Raw genomic sequence first — 22,968 nt, forward strand, 5'->3', positions numbered from 1 at the left:
TAACCCCAGCTACTCAGGAGGCAGAGGCAGGAGAATCACTTGAACCCTGGTGGTGGAGGTTGCTGTGAGCCGAGATTGCGCTACTGCACTCCAGCCTGGGCAACAGGGACAGATTCCATTTAAAAAAAATGTTATAAAGATGTTATAAATATTCAACCATTCATCTTTACTTATCGGATAGACTTGGACATTAGCACTCCCTATCTGAGAGGAGGCCCTGTCTGACAAAAGGCCCTCTGCTCTTATGAAGGAAAGAGAAAAGGAGTAAAAACCAGAAGACATTTGGTTCCCATGGCCGATTTCACTGAGACAATCACCTTTGGGAAGCTTGCAAGGTAGACTACACAATGTGGGGATGATACAGGATGGAGAGAAAATACCCTTCCTTACTCTTAATTTTTCTACTTGTTAAAATTAAGTTTTATTGTACTTCAGAGATATTTCCTATTCTCTGTGCAATTCTGTTTACTGAGCCTAAGAGGGCATTAGCTGAGAAACCTTGTCATCGTGTTAGCTGGCATTAGGGTGTGCCCATCCACATTGCATGAGAGTCAGGCCAGGAGCTGGGGGAGATGGACCACTGCCAGCAGGAGCTGTAGTCATCCCTGTGAGTGATGCAGCCGTGTCCACATCTTCGACCCCTCTGTGTGCTTCAGACAGCTCTGCACGGGACACTGGAGGAAACAGGGTCCCAATCAAATCCCAATTTCAGTTTCTATGGCTTCCACAGAATTTATCTCCATGTTGGTATGTGAAGGGTCAGTAATGTTTCCCAAAAAGTCACTTACTACAATTTGCTGATGGAGGAAGTACAGGATGGGTCTTTGGCCGTGAAATTCAAAAGCTGTTCCAAAATGTTCTGAAACTTCTTAAGCAAGAAGCAGGCTGTTAATGCTCCTACACAAAAAATCTCTCCTACATATTTGGAACTCTTTCGTATTTGTGATGGAAATTCCCAGGTGGATGTAGCTGGGAAGGAGTGACGGGGCTTTATATTCATTTTCTTTCCCCCATATGGGCATTATAGACATTATTTTGATCCCATAATCAGATTTACCTGGATCTGAAAAATAAATAGCAAACCAAAACAAACTAACTCCTTGTCCCTTACCCATCTCAGACTCACATTGAGTTTTTTTTACTATCTATCATTGAGTGAATTTTGTAATCCAGTCACCCATATAAATCTTCCAAACTGTATCAGATTTTTACCTGTTGCATTCTGACTGTGTTCCCTGTTAGGAACCATGCTATACCTTGTGCGTACAGTGGTATGATGTGATTTCTGCTATTAATGTGCTATCTATCCAATAAGTGAGTCAAGACTGAAGCAGCAAACACTTAAAGACCATTATAAGCCAATACTTCAACAAGAGAGATATAAAGGAAAATTGATTGGGGTTTGAGTGATCAGACAAGGCTAAATGGGAGTACCCTGGATGTGAGCTTGGCTTTTAACTGGCATGCAGGGAAGATAAAAGGACATGCATCAACGTGGGAGTGAGAATGAGACGTGTGGAGGACATTCAGACACCTCCTCCTTAAGCACAGGCATTCTACTGCAGAACAGAATGAACACAAAGTTGGAAGAATCCTGATTATGCAGGTCTTGAAAGTCAGACAAAGAGAAGGTGAAACCTAATGGGCCCAAATAGTATTCTAGGGAGATTATCTGATGAAGAAACATGGAAAGAGTTGGAGTTAGGGCTTCAAGACACACACACACACACACACACGCACACACACACACACACACACGCACTTTCACACAGTCACAAAGCTATGGAAGCAATCCAAGCATGAGACAATGGGATCTTGAACCAAGGGGTGACAGGAAGGATGGAAGGGCAGCAGTAACTCTGGGACACATTTCACAAATGGATTCTGACTTGCATGCCAGCGGTTATGGGAGGTAAACGAAGGGAGGAGTCATGGATGATTCAGATGTTTCTAACCTGAAAGACTAACTAGTGTTGCTGGTACTCATGAGAATGCAGAAACTGGATTGGGCAATCCACAGCAAAAGACAAATGATGATGAATTCTGAGCTCCTCAGAACAACAACAACAAAAAAACCTATGTAAATTTTTAGCCAATCAAGATAGCAAATGAAATTATTTCCTGTGGGTCCTTCAGTTTTCATCATTAGATCATGGGTGTGCTGGAGAGCAAGGTGCAGTCTGGAATCCTGCACTCATGCCCTTGTCCTCACTTCCCTGAAAACATACCACAGGAAAAGTCAGCAGCAAGAGCAAGGCCAGAACACACCTCACTCCTCTGACTTTCACAACCCTCATCAGTGAGATGCCCCAGAGGCTCTTTCAACATTAAGACTGTACAATAGCTCTTCTTAACAATTCGGGCGCTGGAGTCATAACAACTTGCATGGATCCCACAAACCACTTGTTGATCAACAATTTCAATCCTCCTTCTCACATTTTTTTTTTCCCAGAGCTACTAACAAGTAGAAAAACAACTTGAGTTCATTTTTACAGCAATGCTCAATCTATGATAGTCCTAATAAGTGGTATGAGGAAGAAAAATGAGTTATTGTAATGAACCAGACCTCAGGACCGCCATCGGTGACACCCATGACCCAGATAAAACCATCTGTCCGCAGGTATCTTATCCAAAAATCCAGGCTCCAGCACATAATAACCATGTGAACCTTGGTAAATTACTTAACACATTATTTGTGTCTCAATTTTCTCATCTTTAAAATAGGGACAATTCTATTACAAGGTCCAAAGAAATGATGTGAGTATTAACTAAGGCATGCAAAGTACTTAGCACAGTGTCTGACACATAGCAAAGTGTTCAATAAATGTTCATCCCTGTTATTACTTGTATGCATCCCTGAAGATAAAGGGTATGCTTTGGAGGCAAAAAAAAAAAAAAAAAGTCAGGCTGAAAATGTTGGACGTTCTTGCATTTACCAAAGCTGTTGAGTAACATCTGGATGGGTGCTATTTAGTATAACTCTGTGATAATATAAATTTGGATATAATTCAATTCATGGCTGGCTCCTGCCTTCCACCAGCCCTGATTTTCACATGCAAGATGGGCTGAATTTCTTATCCGCAGAGGGCCCAGGAGTGTTAGAAAGTGACAGCCTTGAGATAGTTGGGGCTTAATGTAATGTATGGTCATATTTGCACAGTATGATTTCCATTGTACTTTTAGAGGTATTTAGGGAACAATAGAAAAACATTGTTTTTCATAAACTTCACAAAAGTGTGACTCCTTATTTGACATGACTACTTTTTTTGGAGTCTACTTATCTCATTCTGTCAGGGTTTTACTGTACTTGAAAAATAGTTGTACAGTAATTAGGGGCTGCTTGCCTGGACATTCATGGGTATGTGTGTATTAAAGGGAGACAAAATAAGCTTGCCGCACATTACAGCTTGGCTTAGTCTAAGTGTGTCTTGTAGAGATTTGTGCTGTTTTGTTGGCCCTTGATCCTAAGCAGTGTTTTTTGGCTTTAACATTTGCCTCTTGACAAGCTGCTGCATGTGGAGATTATAAGAGATTGAAACTACTTCAAACTTGGCACCTCAGCTCATTTCTTCCCTGTTTGAATGAGAAGAATTAGGGCCTGCCTGCCAGGCTCAAAAGGTTTTCTTCACCTGGGATTTATTCTTTGCAGAGGCTAGTTACCTAAGCCATTTGTTGCAACACAAAAGGGAATGAGTGAAGTCAGGTGATGTCAGGAATATCTATGTTATCTGGACCAGCACCAATGGTGTCAGGGATTGCAGCTGGTTCCCGCTCATCAAAAATGCAGACTTCTCCAGATGCCCAACCATCAAAAAGACTATGAAGGGAATCCTTTACGTCACTAATTATATTTGTTCTAAATGAGTTATCAAGTCCTACAGACCTGCCTGACTCTTCTGGGAGCAGAATGTACCCACAGTATTACAGAACAGAAGTTGTTGTGGGATCCATGCATGTTGTTATGACTCCAGTGCCCGAATTGTTAAGAGGAGCTATTGTACAGTCTTAATGTTGAAAGAGCCTGTGGGGCATCTCACTGATGAGAGTTGTGAAAGTCAGAGGAGTGAGGTGTGTTCTGGCCTTGCTCTTGCTGCTGACTTTTCCCGTGGTATGTTTTCAAGGAAGTGAGGGCAAGGGCATGAGTGCAGGATTCCAGACTGCACCTTGCTCTCCAGCACACCCATGATCTAATGATGAAGACTGAGGGACCCACCATGGCTGAGTTTCATTTAGAGGTGGATTCTAGAGTTTCATCTTCACTTCTCTATTGCCCAACTAGCACTGTAGCCCACAAATGATTTTAACTCTATTAAAGAGGACCTAATTTCTATGATACTTCAGCTACAATGCTTCATGAAGAATTAGTTGGACACAGGTAGCACTGAATACTAATAGTTAGGATAACTCTAATACATACATTGGAATGCACTTACTCCCCATATTTCTTGATTTCATAATTGAGGCAAAGCAGGGGTGCTTCCAATCCTAGTTTCTAATTTTAGTTCACTTTTACAAAATGTAAATGATGCAATGTGAAAAATTAGTACTGACTACTAGATGTAAGAAATGTGAGTTCATGAGCTTAAAACAAGATTCTGGGGCCAGACTGCTTGGTTTCAAATCCTGACACCACCACTTATTAACGGTACCATCTTGGTCAAGTTACTTAAGTTCTCTGTGCATTAGTTTTCTCAACTGTGAGATGAATAATACAGTCACCACCTTACTAAATATCTGGTACACAGTATGAGATCAAGAAATATTTTTATTATGATGAATTATTGGCCAATTCTAATCTTTCAGCATAAAAGACATACATGAGAAACAAAGAAAAACAAGAGCAATTTAAAAAACAGGATAAAAGCATCTAAATCCAAACTGTCATCTCAAAGTTATTCTTTCTACGACAAAAGAGGGGGAAAAGGCCAGGTGCGGTGACTCATGCCTGTAATCCCAGCATTTTGGGAGGCCGAGGCGGTGGATCACGAGGTCAGGAGTTCCAGACCAGCCTGGCCAAGATGGTGAAACCCCCGTCTCTACTAAAAATACAAAAATTAGCCAGGTGTGGTGGTGGGCTCCTGTAATCCCAGCTACTCAGGAGGCTGAGGCAGAGAATTGCTTGAACCCAGGAGGCAGAGGTGGCAGCGAGCCGAGATCGCACCACTGTACTCTAGCCTGGGCGACAGAGCAAGACTGTCTCAAAAAAAAAAAAGGAGGCGGGGGGGCAAGTAACTGCTTCTCTACCAGTCTTACATTCTCCAAATTACTCTATAGCACCTCTGATTACAAAATTACATTTTATATTCTATTGATTATAGAATGTATTGAAACTTTGGGCATAATTTTTACTTGGCTCTTATTTACCCAAATAGGAGTTTCAGACTTAGAAAAAATTTGTGTATAAAAGGGTAAGATGCGGTAAATCTCATGGACAAAGAAGCGGTTTTCACCACCTTTCTTTCCTATCCCACATGATTGAATTTTGGCAAACTGTAATCTCCCTGTGTTGCAGGTTTCTCATTTGTAAAGTGAGAGGGTCACTTCTACTTGTAATAACAAACCAAAAAACTATTTTTTAGACTGAGTCTGATAAGGTCTAAGAGACTAACAAACATACTTTCCGTGTTTGAACCATCCTATAATTTTGTACTGTCCTACTGATAAACAGAAAGATAATCACTTCCTTGGCTAGTTATTATTAGAGTATGATAATAGGTCCATAGCAAAAAGTTATTCATCTCCTCCCTGATACAATGTTTTTTCAGAGCCCTTTAGATTAGGCCTAAGAGGCACATATCACATTATTTCTCTAGTATTTTTTTTCTTCCTAATTTAGTAGAATTATAAGAGCTTTCCACAGTTTTTTCCATGAATCTCTAATGCTATCAGGTAATATCAATTAATTTAAGACTGCTCATTCAAAGACCTTATATTTCTCTCTTGGAAGTTTTACAAGAGGAACTTTATGTAACTGAAAAGTCCTTAAAAACAAGAAATTGGTGAAAATAGGTGTTGAAAGGAGCTATTAAAATCCTCCCATCACTATTGTTAGAAAATTGATAGTTAGCATATTAAACCAGAATATTTAAGAGTATTTGTCCTACTTATATGGTATTCCTGAAGCCCATGCTACTTAAGATATGTAGAAATATATAAATGGATTATTTCTGAGACCCATGCTACTTAAGATATGAACAAACATATAAACTCCAACAGTATACGGTGGAGTCAATCTGTTATAAATAACTAATATACACATAATATGAAGAGAGCAAAATTATGCTGTTTTTATGAACAATCAAATAAAATCTCATCAATAACTCAAATGACTTGAGAAAACATCCTTTAGAAGTAAGGCACTGTTGGCTGGGCGCGGTGGCTCACGCCTGTAATCCCAGCACTTTGGGAGGCCGAGGTGGGTGGATCACAAGGTCAGGAGATCAAGACCATCCCGGCTAACACAGTGAAACCCGGTCTCTACTAAAAATACAAAAAAATTAGCCAGGCGTGGTGATGGGCGCCTGTAGTCCCACCTACTCAGGAGGCTAAGGCAGGAGAATGGTGTGAACCCAGGAGGCAGAGCTTGCTTGCAGTGAGCCGAAATCGCGCCACTGCACTCCAGCCTGGGCGACAGAGTGAGACTACGTCTCGACAAAACAAAACAAAAAAGAAATAAGGTACTATTTAAATGTAAGGAATTGTTTATTCTAGCACCAACAGTTTAAATGCTTTCCACTAACTGAGTTGACATTTTCTTTTGAATTAGCCTATTGAGCATGATTCACGTAAATTCTGCTATGGTTCTCATCTGATTTCTTAGAACTGGGTGATTCAAAAACACTAATTATTTTTAAAAGTCACTAGCTTTTTACTCTCTTTACAAAATAATTCAGGATTGTCTTCTTTTACATAGCAAATTACCATAATTTATGTGAAATACAATCTAATTTATAGAAATTTGATTTACAAGAAGCTTTTTAGGAGATGGCTGCTTTGTGAAGCAAGAAGTGTCTGGTTTGACTTTTCCTCCTCTTTTAAGAAAACTGGCTTCACAGGGAAAAAATAAAAATGAAAACAGCATTCATCAAGCCACTGGGGTTAAAACCCTCATCCCCCTCAGTTCTGAGGACTTTTCTTAGTCCTTTCTACTTTTTCATTCTGGATCCAAAAGAAAATAACGGAGTGTCGGGCATTCTGCCCATTTTACAACTTGACAATTACTAAATGTAACTGAAAGAGCGCTAATTAGATAACAATCTTCTCTTGAACTAAATGTGTTGACACATTTACACCACTCAAATATCAGCCCTAAAGAGAGAGAAGGGATTTGTATACTACTCTGGATTTTCATTTGTTCAGTTGATCAAATACAAGACTATGGTTTCCATTACAAAAGTAAAGAATGATATAGCAAGAGATTGCTGCTTGTTTGTGCTGTGCATATCATGGCAAGATTTATGAAATGAATAATAAATGAGTCAAAATTTTATAAAGGCTAAAATATTTTCTGGCTTCTACAAGCTTCATATTTTTCTAGATAAATATTACAAACTCAACTTTCTGACTAACTTGAAAATCTAGGGTAAAAAACACACAAATTGTTCATATTAATCCTTCCAAGTGAAAACACTATACAAAAAAAAATTTTTGAAATGAAACACTAAAGTGGTACCAAAATAAATTTTAACTAGAATCCAAAAATTAAGGAAATAAACAAATGTCATTTACTTACAAGTTGGTTTTGCAGTTGGAGGAAATTTGGTCCGAGTAATAGCCAAAATTATGAAAATAATGACTGGCCATAAGATCAAGACAAGTGTCCAAAGCTGCAAAATAATGGTAGAAAAAATTGTTAGTTTTATTGTTGAACCAAAGATTTTTAAAACCTGACTACAAAAAGTATGTCATACTATAATATTTCAACACAAGCTGAATATTTGACCAACTGTAGATATTATTAATAAAAAGTGAATGAGAGATTTTTTTAATATGTAAAAGACCTGTAAATGCACAGAAGAATGATTTTTCCAGGCTTAAAACCATGAAATAACCTTCTGAAGATTTATTTTGGATCACCTCTCATGACTGCCCCAATCATCATTATATTAAAATTAACCCTGATTGGTTACTTCATTCCTTAAAAATCCTTTAGAGTTTCCCACTTCCCTATTGGATAAGACACAATGTTCTAAACAGGCCATACAAAACCCAAAATAATTTCAACCTATGCCTATTTTAGCCCTTTCAATGTCAGCATTCTATGCTCAGTCATAAAGACTGGTGTGTGAAGTGGGTCATGACCCATAAATATTGTTGAAAAAATGAACTTAAGAATGAACCAAAAAAGAAATAATTGAGTCAATGAGTGAAGAAGTAAAAAGGAACTTCAAGTCCCATGCAGTCCCATATACTACTTAATGTCTTGTGTGTCTACTTCTATCATAGAACTTACACCGTTATAGTCAATGATTTTTTTTTTTTTTTTTTGCCCAGTTCCCAAATAAACTGGACGTTCATTTATGGTAGGGGCAGTGTCTTATTGATACCTAAATTTCCACCACTCGATGAAAAATAGATGCTCAAAAACACATACTGCATTGAAATTTCTTTGGGTTTTTTTTGTTTTTTTTTTGTTTTTTTTTGTTTTTTTTTGAGACAGAGTCTTGCTCTGTCACCCAGGCTGGATCACAGTGGTGTGATCTTGGCTTGCTGCAACCTCTGCCTCCCAGGTTCAAACAATCCTCTGCCTCAGTCTCCCGAGTAGCTAGGATTACAGGCACCCGCCACCACGCCTGGCTAATTTTTGTATTTTTAGTAGAGATGAGGTTCCACCATCTTGGCTAGGCTGGTCTTGAACTCCTGACCTTGTGATCCACCTGCCTCAGCCTCCCAAAGTGCTGGGATTACAGGCGTGTGAGCCACCGTGCCCGGCCTGAAATTTTCATTAGAGAATTTCACTTTAAGTACTTTAGGAGCTGCTTTTCCTCCCCGTGTAGAAGTGATTCAGTTTGAAAAACACTAACTGCTTAATATTTTATAGACCTATATAATTGGCTCCAGAACCATGAAAAACATATTCACAAGAACATTAACTGTGATATGCAAATAGTTATGGTGCTAAAACCAAACCACAGGGACAAATTTTGCCTATACTTAATAAAGTGAAACTTGGAACTGTATAGTTTTCTGGTCAGACTTATCTTTTCTCTCCCACTTTTCAGAGACAATTTGCTTCAGCCAAATCTCAAGCTATCTACCTGGAGCTCTTCAATTCACCAAAGCAATCCAAACCCCATGAATTACTGATCCTTAAATAACTCCTAATCTACATTTGCTACTAAAATCTCCATTTTGTGTCCAAGAGTGCTGCTCTCCTTGCTGGTAGGCCTGTCACCAACTTCTTAGACGTTGGGTATAATGGTAAGTTTTCAAAAATGGAAGTTCACAAAGTTCACTATAGATCCAAGGAATCCTGAGGCACTCGGTTTGAACATAGCTTGAAAAGCACCCATAAAGACTGAACAACTTAATCTAAAACAGCACTTCTCAAACACTAGTGTGGACTTCCAGATCAGTTTGGGATCTTGTAAACATACAGATTATGGTTCAGTAGATCTGAGGTGGGGGCTGAGATTCTGCATTTCTAAGAAGCTCCCAGGTAAGTGATGCTGATGCAGCTGGTCCATGGACTGCACTTTGAGGAGAGTGGATCTAGATGTATGCCACCCTACCTATCTAACAGGAGTGTTTACAAAGTCCTGGAATATTTTTGTTGGAAAATTTCTTTGGGATCACCTAATGAATAGAATTCAAGGCATTTGTAAATTTGAATGGGAGAAAAAAAGATTATATTTTTATTTTCTCTAGCTTGTTATTAACATTTAGTATTTCCATTAATGATGAATATAGGCAATGAACCACAGTGTTATTAGAAGAACCTGTGACTTTGTCACTAATAGAAATTATGGATATTTAAAAATCACATTAGAGTTGTTGCAGATATCTTAAAGCGCTGTTTATACTCATTACTACTTAAAATTAGTTATGAATTCACCACTAGACCTTTTATTTAATACTACAATAAAGAGACACACATATTACCATATCATAAACTTGCTTTTTTTTCTTTGAGATGGAGTCTTGCTCTGTCGCCAGGCTGGAGTGCAGTGGTGCAACCTCGGCTCACTGCAACCTCCGCCTCCTAGGTTCAAGCAATTCTCCTGCCTCAGCCTCCAGAGTAGCTGGGACTACAGGCACATGCCACCATGCCCAGCTAATTTTTGTATTTTTAGTAGAGACGGGGTCTCACCATGTAGGCCAGGATGGTCTTGATCTCTTGACCTCATAATCTGCCCACCTTGGCCTCCCAAAGTGCTGAGATTACAGGCGTTAGTCACCGCACCCGGCCAAATTTGCTTTCTTAATACTTTGATAACTGAATTTCAATATAATTGGCTTTATTTATAATCCTTTTTATTTTATTTTACATGATGAATTTTAAAACATTATTCTTAAAGGAGCTGTAGGTTTGACCAAACTGCCAAAGCCATCCTAAGGTCCTGTAATCTGATCTAACTCTTTTTTGTATTCTCTGGGTGCAGAAAGTTAGCATAACTTGTCCAAAGTCATATATCCAATTGTGAGGCAGAGCAGGAGACAAGGATCTGAATCCCAAGATACATAGGAGGCCAGGATTCTTTTTTTTATAATTATTGTGCTGTTCCGAGCAGCAAATAAGAAAGCATTACAGAAAGTGTATTGCAAAAATATGAGTGCTACAGAAATGTAAGACGTGTTATTATTCTAGCCTCATCTCTGATTTATTTCAAAATTGGAGCTTGTTCTTTAAAGATCCTGAATACAAGGTATCGTCTTTATTTTATGTTTCTCATTTGAAATGTAGACTAGAAAGAATTAAGGTTAAAAAATTAATGTTTGTGGATTTATCAGTTTTGTATTTGAGGTCATAGTTATGAAAGTATTCATCTGAGTAGACTTAATGCCCCATAGCTACTTTTAGGAACTTCTATTCATTTTCTATGGCAACTTCATGAGAATTCAGTGACCGAGATCAACGATAACAACATATCCACATTCAGATAAGGGGCATATATTGTATGGTATGTATGGTTGCCTTTTGCTTGATCTAATTTGATGATTTCATGAGGATGTTTTGGTGAGTTTTAAAATTAATTTTAAACATATTTTGAATCCAGACAAAAATGCAATCTATACCAGAGACGTTTAAGGCATTTTAGACTCTTGAAGGCAAAAACCACAGCCAGCCTATAAACGAATCTATTATTACAAGGTTTCCCTGGGATTTCAGGTCAGAGAGAGATTTAGAGAACATTTCTGCATACTGCATTTTACGGGGAAAATAAATACAAAGCCCTCTACACTATGGTCTCACGAATATTAAGGTTGACAGGTTAATCACAAAAGCAAGAAATAAATAAAATTTAAATTTTCATAGCAGCAGTGTTGCTCACAACACCATTCTAAATATGTTCATAAGCAACCTAGAAGCAAATGCGGTGTCAAGGATTCAAACTCTAAACCAATAGGCCATGACTTTTTTCTGTTTGGAGAAAGGGATGATATATTAATTTTACACATATAGACACAGGAGCTACTGGAGATGTTTGAGGAAAGCAGTGTTTAAAGGTTTAGTATTTTTGCTTAGAGTGTAATTATTTCACACTGTCTCTACATCTCCTTGGCATTCCACCCCCCTATACTCTTGGCATCAAAGGGTATGTGCACACTAAATAGTTTATGATTCCTTAGTGGGCCAGGGCATTCGTGTCCTTTTATTTCTCCAGGATTTATTTTCTACTGAGATGTACCATTCTGTTCTCTTTTTCTTCTTCTTTTCCTGAAAAATTCAATCCAAAAGTCCGTAGGTAGGTCCTAGCAAGGTAAGTGTACGTGCTAGTACTTGAGGAGCCACAGCTACCCAGTGAGGGAAGTGGGGCCTTAGAAGGGTGAAGAGGACATGGGCACTGAGGCAGTGAGATGTGGGATGTCAGAGACCAAGTGGGGTGAAGAAGGTGTCAGTGCAGGGAGACAGGACAGAGGCAGTGGCAGGCGACCGATTTCATAAGAGCAGGTTGATGATAAAAGTAGAAATATCCCCCATTAGGGGAGTCAGGCTTCTCACTGTCCTTCAAGGTAATTATAACAATTGGAAAAGAAGGAAACTAGAATGATCTTGGTAGTGTTAGGTTAGAATGAGCAAAATGGGCATAAACTCCTAATTCCCAAATGTATAAAGAGGCATAAAATGCAGATAAAAATGCGTATGTGTATTATTTATTTTTTACTTTCTGGTTCCACAATTTGTTTCTGCCTCATTGTGTACCTTCTTTGTCCAATTCCTGAAAACACCTATTTTTCCAAAAAAAATGCTAGCTTCTTTTAGTAGACAACTGAGTTCTAGGTGTGATCATTGCTAGTGGGGTCTCAATATTTTCAATACTCGACATAGCTAAAGATGATATGTAGAAGATAAAGAAAGAGACAGATGATACAAAAGGATAGATAGTTATATAGCTTGCTTGCTTGATTGATATAGATAGGTAGGTAGATAGATTGATAGAAGGGTGATGGATTTACTGCAAAGGGATTGGCAATGAATGATGAGGACACATCCAAGAATACAGATACCAGCCTGTGGCTGTATTTAAACATTAAAATATATTTGAAAATAAAATATATTTAATTAAATAAACTAGGAATCCATGAATCTATGCTGATGGAAACAAACACATAGGTAAACATAAATAAATTGAAAGCTTAATGAGGAATGGAGTATGTACCTACAAAATATTTCTCTATAAAATGGGACAAAATGTCATCATGCACAACCTAATGTGATGAAACGGAAAAAAGCATAATTTCTGTGACATTCTTGCCAAAGATGAATAATAACCTGACTCAAAAAATAAAGAAACAACTGATACTTTACAAGACAATTGGTCATGAAGGTTCAAAAGCGTCAGGGTCATGAAAGTCAAGGAAAAATTGAGAAACTGTTACACATTAAAGGAGACAAGAGCCATGAAAACTAGATGCAGCAGGTAATTCTAAACTGGATCCTTTTGCTATATAAAGGCCACAGTTCCAACAACTGGTGAACCTTGAGTCTAAGGATTTGATGGTGGTATTGAGCTATGTTTACTTGTAGAAAATGTACATTAAAGTATCTGGGGGTAATGGAGCACCAATTTCAAATTGTTCTAGAAAAGAAGTTATTTGTGCTGTTCTTGCAACATTTCTGTAAATTTGTTTTAAAATAAAAAGTTTAGAAATTATTTAAAAGATTTCTGCATTCCTTTTTGAAAATCTAGACTAATTTTTAAAAGAGTGCAAGAGATGAAGAAACAGAAAAAGAGATAAAGACAAGCTTCACATCAAGAAATTCTATCCTGTTGCATGCAAGTGTTGAGGTTTGGAGAATTAATGATAATGCCAGGGCACATTTCAGTGACCTTGTAGTCACTAAGTCATCAACTCAAAATTACAAGTTTAAATCTTAAGCAATTCCTTGAATTAATCAAATGTAAATTCAATGCAAAATTTTCATTTAAAGCTAATCTGCAGTATCTATTAACAAAATTGAATTATCTAGTAATATTTTCCTCTGCACCTGCTAAGAACTATTATTTCAAGTATTTACAAATTTCAAAAACCCGATGTTCTAAAAAATTTGGGCAAAGCATATAATTTCAACTTTAGGTCATCACTACTTTATTACGTTGTCAGAACCCTTTATTCTAATTAATGCTAGTCTATCTGATGCTATTTTTGTCTACCATTGTTATTTTCTTACCATTTTCACTAAACAGTAAAGAAAATAAGATACAGGTGAATTTTAAGTAAACAAGTCTAACTATATATTTTTAAATTATATGAAACTGAACTACTGTTTGGAGACTCTGTGAATTTAATTACTACATCTTATTATCCTAGAGCAGAGGTAACAGACTGGTGGTAGAAAGATCACATCAGACTCATGGAGGTGTTTTGTTTCTTTCACACAGTTTTGTTATTGTTTTCGATGAAATGTGAATGCCTTTAAATAGGGAAAGTACTCTCTAGTTCATCACAGATGTCACCATTCCCCACTTTTTAATGAAGTGCATGGTGTACTTTACCTATCACATTATATATTTTGCCCCTACAGACATTTGAGTCTGTGCCTTTATACTAGAGTAGCCTGAGGCTGGTTATGTCAAAAATAAATGATACCCAACAGGGCATGGTGGCTAATGCCTGTAATCCCAGCACTTTGGGAGGCCGAGGCGGGCAGATTGCTTGAGGTCAGGAGTTTGAGACCAGCCTGGCCAACATGGTGAAAACCCGTCTCTACTAAAAATACAAAAATTAGCCGAGCATGGTGGCACACGCTTTTAGTCTCAGCTACTGAGGAGGCTGAGGCAGAAGAATCATTTGAACCCAAGAGATGGAGGTTGCAGCGAGCCGAGATCTTGCCACTGCATGCCAGCCTGGGTGACAGAGTGAGACTCCGTCTCAAAAAAAAATTAATTAATAAAAAAAGAATGATATGATACTGAATATCAATACAATTTCTATATTTCAATAGGATTTCTTTTGCCTCACTCCAAAAACAAAAACAAAAGGCTAAGATGAAGAGTTTTCATTCCCCTTCATAGTGTCATAGTTTTGGAGAGTTTTAAGGAAATTTAGAGTATAAATATAAACATATATAAAACAGTAATCATTTATTTAAGATTTATACATAAATACAAAAAAAAAATTGTTGAGCACCTACTATGTACCAGACAGTGGGGATACAGCAATGTAAGTTTTCAGTCTTTTGAGAAAGGGAAACAAAAAAATAATTACAGCTAATTTGCATTTCTCTATGATTAGTGAGGATGAGCATTCTTATATGTTTGTTGGCCTCTTGTATGTCATCTTTTGAGAAGTGTCTGTTCATGTCTTTTGCCCGTTTTTTAAATGGGATTATTTGTTTTTTGCTGTTGATTTAAGTTTCTTATAGATTCTGGATATTAGACCTCTGTTACATGCATAGTTTGAGAATATTTTCTCCCATTCTTTAGGTTATCTGTTTCCTCTATTGATAATTATTATTTTATTTTTGAGACCGATTCTCACTCTGTTGCCCAGGGTAGAGTGGTACGATCTCGGCTCACTGCAACCTCCACCTTCCAGGTTCAAGCAAGTCTCCTGCCTCAGCCTCCCAAGTAGCTGGGATTACAGGCATGTGCCACCACGCCTGGCTAAGTTTTGTATTTTTAGTAGAGACAGGGTTTCACCATGTTGACCAGGCTGGTCTTGAACTCTTGACCTCAGGTGATCTGCCAGCCTTGGCCTCCCAAAGTACTGGGATTACAGGCATGAGCCACTACTCCCTGCTGATGATTTCTTTTGCTGGGTAGAAGCTCTTTAACTTAATTAGGTCCCATTTATTAATTTTTAGTTTTGTTACAATTGCTTTTGGGGACTTAGCCAAAAATGATTTGCCAAGGCCAATGTTGAGAAGGGTACTTCCTAGATTTTCTTTTAGGATTTTTAGAGTTTGAGGTCTTACAGTTAAGTCTCTAATCCATCTTGAGTTAATTTTTATATATGGGGAAAGGTACGGGTCCAGTTTTATTCTTCTGCATATGGCTGGTCAGTTATCCCAGCACCTCTTATTGAATAGGGAGTCCTATCCCCCATTGCTTGGTTTTGTGAGCCTTGTCAAAGATCAGTTGGTTGTGAGTATGTCGCTTTATTTCTCTGTTTCCAATTCTGTTCCATTGTTATATGCACCTGTTTTTGGACCAGTGCCATGCTGTTTTGGCCTCACATGAGTCAGAATGGCCATCATTAAAAAGTAAAAAAAAAAAAAAAAAATGAAAACAAAACAAAAAAAAACAGATGCTGGCAAGGCTTCAGAGAATAGGGAACACTTATCTACTGTTGATGGGAGTATAAGTTAGTTCAACCACTGTGGAAAGCAGTTTGGAGATTTCTCAAAAAAACTTAAAACAAAGCTACCATTTAACCCTGCAATCCCTTTACTGGGCGTATAACCAGAGGAAAAAAGATCATTATACCAAAAAGATACATACACTCACCATGCTACTCACAATAGCAAAGACAGGAAATCAACCTATGTGTCCATCAATGGTGAATTGGATAAAGAAAATGTGGTACATATACACCATGGAATATTACATAGCCATGAAAAAGAATGAAATCATGTAATCATGTCCTTTGCAACAACATGGATGGAGCTAGAAGCCATAATCCTTAGCAAATTAATGTAAGAACAGAAAACTAAATACTCTCTGTTCTCACTTATAAGTGAGAGTTAAACATTGAGCGCTTATGGACACACACATGGGAACAACAGACTCTGCAGAGTACTAGAGGGAAGAGGGAGGGATGGAGACATGGGTTGAAAAACTACCTATTTGGTACTATGCTCACCACTTGGATGCAATATACTCATCTAACAATCCTGCACATATACTTCCCATATCTAAAATAAAATTTGAAAAAAATAATTACAGCTAGTTGGAATGGATAATATGACATAGGAAGTAAAGAATGCAAGAGAAAGATAAAGAAAGCTGAGTCTAAAACACGAAGGATGAAAAAGGGTCAAACAGAAGAAATAAATATGTGTTGGATGGAGCGTAAGAAAGAAGTGGGAGTCTGTAGAGCAGAAGCAGCATATGTGTGAAGATCCACAGATGGGGAAGAGAAGGGGATAGTCCAGGAACAGAAATAAGTCCAGAATGACTGGTACGTTGAGACTTAGGGAAAATATATCTGCCATATGGTTATCCAACCTCTATTTGAATGCTTCTAGTGACAAGAAGTTTACTATGAAACTCTTCATCATTGGACAACTCATACTGTCTGATATTTTTGCTTATATTAAGGTGAAATCTTTCTTCCCGTAACTACTGCCTATTTGTCTAAGTTTGGCCACTTCTTCCACATGAGAATTCTATGAATATTTGAAGAGAGACAAAATCCCTTCTTCCCCTAGGCAACTTTAACAATTCTGTTAAGTACTGTTAAAAAATATGTTCCCCAGGATGAATTCTTGTTGTCAAGTGGTCTTCTTATAATTAATGTCAGCATTCAATACAATACTCCAAATGATAATAGCTAATATATATTGACTGCTTAGATTGTGTAACATGCTCTGCTAAACACAACATGCGTTATCACTTTTAACATAATAACCTCCCTTCCTCTTGCAGATGGGAAGACAGGATCTTAAAGTGACTAAATAAGCTTTTCTTCCAGAAGCCACTAAGCAGTAGAGCTGGTGTTTGAACCCAGGGAGTCTGGCTACACTAGCAGAGTTAATCACTAAATTATAGAGCTAACGCACTACAAAATGGATTACTGGCTGTCTTTGATTTGAATACTATACTTTTATTAATTGATTCTATGAGAGCATTGAAAGTCATTTAAAGGACTTTCTGTAACCTAGAACTTTTTATTGCAAACTTGAAAATAAAAATTGCTCAAACTTCCATATATAAAGTACACTCTCTCTTTTTTCCTTTTTTATTTATTTCCTTTAGCATTGTCCTATAAGACAAGAATGACGGTTATTTGATGGTAACAAGAGGATTCCAAGGTTTACATTGCGAAGTAAGAGCTTGGTACCTAAGACCCAGAATAAACCTTAGTTCCCATGAGGAACCTTACTTTCCCAGTGAGGAAATAAAAATGGCTCGGAGTTCTCAATTAGTCTTTCTGGTTGATATGATTTGGCTGTGTCCCCACCCAAATCTCATGTTGAATTGTAGCTCCCATAATCCCCATGTGTTGTGGAAGGAAACCAGCAAGAGGTAATTGAATCATGGGGGCGGGTCTTTCCTGTGCTGTTCTCATGATAGTGAACAAGTCTCATGAGATCTGATGGTTTTATAAATGGGACTTCCCCTGCACAAGCTCTTGCCTGCTGCCATGTAAGATGTATCTTTGCTCCTTCTTTGCCTTCCACCATGAATGTGAGGCTTCCCCAGCCATGTGAAACTGTGAGTCCATTAAACCTCTTTTGCTTTATAAATTACCCAGTTTCAGGTATGTCTTTATTAGCAGCATGAGGACAGACTAATACACTGGTGTGCCTCACTGCCATCTAAAGAAATGACTCATCTAAAAACTGGAATCAAGAAAGTTTTGTGAAATCCGTACTTATAGATTTGAAATTTAAAGATTGGTAAATTTTTTATGGTGTTTACAGAAGCAACGGATTTTTATCAGACATTAAGTCAATTAACTCCTCTATTGCTCCCATTTCTGAAACCTCTTCACCTCAGTTACTTTTTAATGGTTGACTACATTCATAAAATTTGCATGTCTACTATGTGGCAGGCACCATAATCAATAGGTAGAACTAAAATTTTCAAGCAATTAAAAGGGATTAAGGGAGTAAATGATACCAATTCAGAAGAGATAAAAGGAACTGGAACATTGATCACATAGTTGAGTAAGTTGTGCAGGACCCAGTTTATTTCAATCTGATTTAGGATTATTTTGAAATTAGGGCTTAATCCTAAATTGTTTTATTCTAAAAAATATTTTAATGCATAGACAAACTTGTCCTTAAATTCTGAAGCAAAGTTTTCCTCTTTCTCTAGTCACTGTGAAAGGTGGTAATATGAGCAAGTTGGGGATTGCAGGAGGGTATGTCAAGCTTGATCCAAAATGTAAGCCTTTAGCAAGTTGTGACAACATCTGAGTGGAAAAGCTAGTTCTATCATCAACTGAGCTACAGTGTGATCCAGTAGCGAAACAGTTACCACAGAAAATAAACAACTAAAGTTAATTTCCCTTCTTTAGGTCAGAAGGCTGGAATTAGATCCCACCTCTGTTGAAATTTGAAGTCACTCCTTGATGTGCCTATTTAGGAACCATCTTCTTTTTTAAAAATTTGCGATTTGGGGGTACATGTGCTTGTTGGTTATATGGGTATTACATGTGTAATGGTGAGGACTAGGCTTCTAGTGTGCCCGTCACCAAAATATTGTACATTGTATCCAGTAGGTAATTTCTCACCCATCATCCCTTCCCTACTATGGCATTCCCAGAGTATTTTTTCTGTCTTTGTGCCTGTGTATACCATTTGTTTAGTTTCCACTTATAAGTGAGAACATATGATATGTGATTTTCTGCTTCTATGTTAGTTCACTTAGGATAATGGCCTCCAGCTCCATCCATGTTGCTGCAAAGGACATGATTTCATTCTTTTTTATGGCTGTGTAGTATTCCATGGTGCTTATATACCACATTTTCTTTTTTTTCTTTTTGTCTCTTTTTTAAGATGGAGTTTTGCTCTGCTGCTCAGGCTGGAGTGCAGTGGCGCAATCTCGGCTCACTGCAACCTCCACCTCCTAGATCCAGTGATTCACTGCCTCAGCCTCCCAAGTAGCTGGGATTATAGGTGTCCGCCACCACACCTGGCTAACTTTGTATTTTTAGTAGATATGGGGTTTCACCATGTTGGCCAGGCTGGTCTCAAACTCCTGATCTCAGGTGATCTGCCTGCCTCAGCCTCCCACAGTGCTGGGATTACAGGTGTGAGCCACTGCACCTGGCGTCCCACATTTTCTTTATCCAATGAACTGTTGGCGGACACTTAGGTTGTTTCCATGACTTTGCTATTGTAAGTAGTGCTGCAATAAACATATGAGTGCATGTGTCCTTTGGGTGGATACACAGTAGTGAGATTGCTGATTCAAATGGTAGTTTTATTTTCAATTTCTTGAGATATTTCCATACTGTTTTCCATAGTCTGAACTAATTTACATTCTCATCAACAGAGTATGAATGTTTTCTTTTCTCTGCATCCACACCAACATCTGTTATTTTTTGGCTTGTTTTTTCCTTTTTTAATCTTTATTTTAATTTTTTTTATAAGTTATTGGGGTACAGGTATTAGTTGGTTACATGAGTAAGTTCTTTAGTGGTGATTTGTGAGATTTTGGTGCACCCAGCACCCAAGCAGTATACAATGCACCACATTTGTACTCTTCTATCCCTCGCCCCCCTCTCACTCTTCCCCTAAGCCTCAAAAGTCCATTGCATCATTCTTATGCCTTTGTGTCCTCAGAACTTAGCTCCCACATATTAGTGAGAACATACAACGTTTGGTTTTTCATTCCTGAGTTACTTCACTTAGAATAATAGTCTCCAATCTTATCCAGGTCACTGCAAATGCTGTTAATTCATTCCTTTTTATGGCTGCGTAGTATTCCATCACATATATATTCCACAGTTTTTTAATCCACTTGTTGATTGATGGGCATTTGGGTTGGTTCCACAATTTTGCAATTGTGCATTGTGCTGCTATAAACATGTGTGCAAGTACCTTTTCGAATGTGCATTGTGCTTCTATAAACGTGTGTGCAAGTACCTTTTCGAATAATGACTTCTTTTCCTCTGGGTAGATATCCAGTAGTGGGATTGCTGGATCAAATTGTAGTTCTAGTTTTAGTTCTTTAAGGAATTTCCACACTATTTTTGATAGTGGCTGTACTAGTTTACATTCCCACCAACAGTGTAGAAGTGTTCCCTGTTCACCTCATCCATGCCAATGTCTACTCTTTTTTGATTATGACCATTCTTGCAGGAGTGAAGCGGTATCACATTGTGGTTGTGATTTGCATTTCCCTGATCATTAGTAATGCTGAGCATTTTTTCATATGTTTGTTGGCCATTTGTATATCTTCTTTTGAGAATTCTCTGTTCATGTCCTTAGCCCACTTTTTGATGGGATTGTTTGTTTTTTTCTTGCTGATCAATTTGAGTTCATTGTAGATTCTGGATATTAGTACTTTGTCAGATGTACAGATTGTGAAGATTTTCTCCCACTCTGTGGGTTGTCTGTTTATTCTGCTGACTGTTCCTTTTGCTGTGCAAAAGCTGTTTCATTTAATTAGGTCCCAGCTATTTATCTTTGTTTTTATTGCATTTGCTTTTGGGTTCTTGGTCATGAAATCCTTGCCTAAGCCAATGTCTAGAAGGGTTTTTCCAATGTTATCTTCTAGAATTTTTATAGTTTCAGGTCTTCGGTTTAAGTCCTTAATCCACCTTGAGTTGATTTTTGTATAAGGTGAGATGAGGCTCCAGTTTCATCCTCCTACATGTGGCTAGCCAATTATCCCAGCACCATTTGTTGAAAAGGGTGTCCTTTCCCCACTTTATGATTTTGTTTGCTTTGTGGAAGATCAGTTGGCTGTAAGTATTTGGGCTTATTTCTGGGTTCTCTATTCTGTTCCATTGGTCTATGTGCCTATTTTTATACCACTACCATGCTGTTTTGGTGACTATGGCCTTATAGTAGAGCTTGAAATCAGGTAGTGTGATGCCTCCAGATTTGTTCTTTTTGTTTAGTCTTGCTTTGGCTATGTGGGCTTTTTGGTTCCATATGAATTTTAGAATTACTTTTTCTAACTCTGAAGAATGATGGTGGTATTTTGATGGGTATTGCATTGAATTTGTAGATTGCTTTTGGCAGTATGGTCATTTTCATAATATTTATTCTACCCATCCATGAGCATGGGATGTGTTTCCATTTGTTTTCATTGTCTATGATTTATTTCAGCAGTGTTTCCTAGTTTTCCTTGCAGAGGGCTTTCGAGTCCTTTGTTAGGTATATTCCTAAGTATTTTATTTTTTTACAACTAGTGTAAAAGGGGCTGAGCTCTTGATTTAGTTCTCTGTTTGGTCGCTGTTGGTGTAGAGAAGAGCTACTGATTTTTCATTAATCTTGTATCCGGAAACTTCACTGAATTATTTTATCAGTTCTAGGAGTTTTCTGGAGGAGTCCTCAGGGTTTTCAAGGTAAACAATCATATCATCAGCAAACAGTGACAGTTTGACTTCCTCTTTACTGGTTTGGATGCCCTTTATTTATTTATCTTGCCTGATTGCTCTGGCTAGGACTTCCAGTACTAAGTTGAAGAGGCGTGGTGAGAGTGGACATCCTTGTCTTGTTCCAGTTCTCAGAGGGAATGCTTTCAACTTTTCCCCATTCAGTATTATGTTGGCTGTGGGTTTGTCATAGATGGCTTTTATTACATTAAGGTATGTCCCTTGTATGCCGATTTTGCCATGAGTTTTCATCACAAAGGAACACTGGATTTTGTCAAATGTTTTTTCTGCATCTATTAAGATGATCATGTGATTTTTGTTTTTAATTCTGTTTATGTGGTGTATCACATTTATTGACTTGCATATGTTAAACCATCCCTGCATCCCTGGTATGAAACCCACCTGATCATGGTGAATTATCTTTCTGATATGTTGCTGGATTCGGTTAGCAAGTATTTTGTTAAGGATTTTAGCATCTATGTTCATCAAGGATATTGGTCTGTAGTTTTGTTTTTTGCTCTTGTCCTTTCCTGGTTTTGGTATTAAGATGATGCTGACTTCATAGAATGAATTAGGGGGTGGGGGTTCCTTCTTTCTCTATCTTGTGGAATAGTTTCAAAAGGATTGGTACCAATTCTTCTTTGAATTTGTGGTAGAATTCTGCTGTGAATCTGTCTGGTCCTGGACTTTATTTCTGTTGGTAATATTTTAATTACCATTTCATTCTCCCTGCTTGTTATTGGTCTGTTTAGGGTATCTAATTCTTTCTGATTTAAGCTAGGAGGGTTGTATTTTTCCAGGAATTTCTCCATCTCTTCTAGGTTTTCTAGTTTATGTGCAGAAAGGTGTTCATAGTAGCCTTGAATGATCTTTTGTATTTCAATGGTGTCAGTTGTATTATCTCTTGTTTTGTTTCTTAGTGAAGTTACCTGGATTTTCTCTCTTCTTTTCTTGGTTAATCTTGCCAGTGGTCTATTTTATTTATCTTTTCAAAAAACCAGCTTTTTGTTTCATTTATCTTTTGTAATTTTATTTCAATATCATTTAGTTCTGCTCTGATCTCGGTTATTTTCTTTCTTCTGTTGG

The 22,968-nt window shown here is 37.7% G+C and overlaps 1 protein-coding gene across 3 annotated transcripts in view; it reads right to left on the reverse strand.

Annotated features, from left to right (window-relative positions):
• ABCA12 (ATP binding cassette subfamily A member 12) overlaps positions 1-22,968 on the reverse strand; it is a 207,085-nt gene that overhangs the window by 172,323 nt on the left and 11,794 nt on the right. For all 3 annotated transcript variants that reach the window (NR_103740.2, NM_173076.3, XM_011510951.3), the window contains exon 2: positions 7,733-7,826. Coding sequence is in view for 2 of the 3 variants with exons in the window: in NM_173076.3 (NP_775099.2) it covers positions 7,733-7,826 (94 nt within the window). In the remaining variant the exon portion in view is untranslated. The remainder of the gene's footprint in view (positions 1-7,732; positions 7,827-22,968) is intronic.

Source organism: Homo sapiens, chromosome 2, assembly GCF_000001405.40.
Source record: "Homo sapiens chromosome 2, GRCh38.p14 Primary Assembly".
Lineage (NCBI taxonomy): Eukaryota > Metazoa > Chordata > Mammalia > Primates > Hominidae > Homo > Homo sapiens.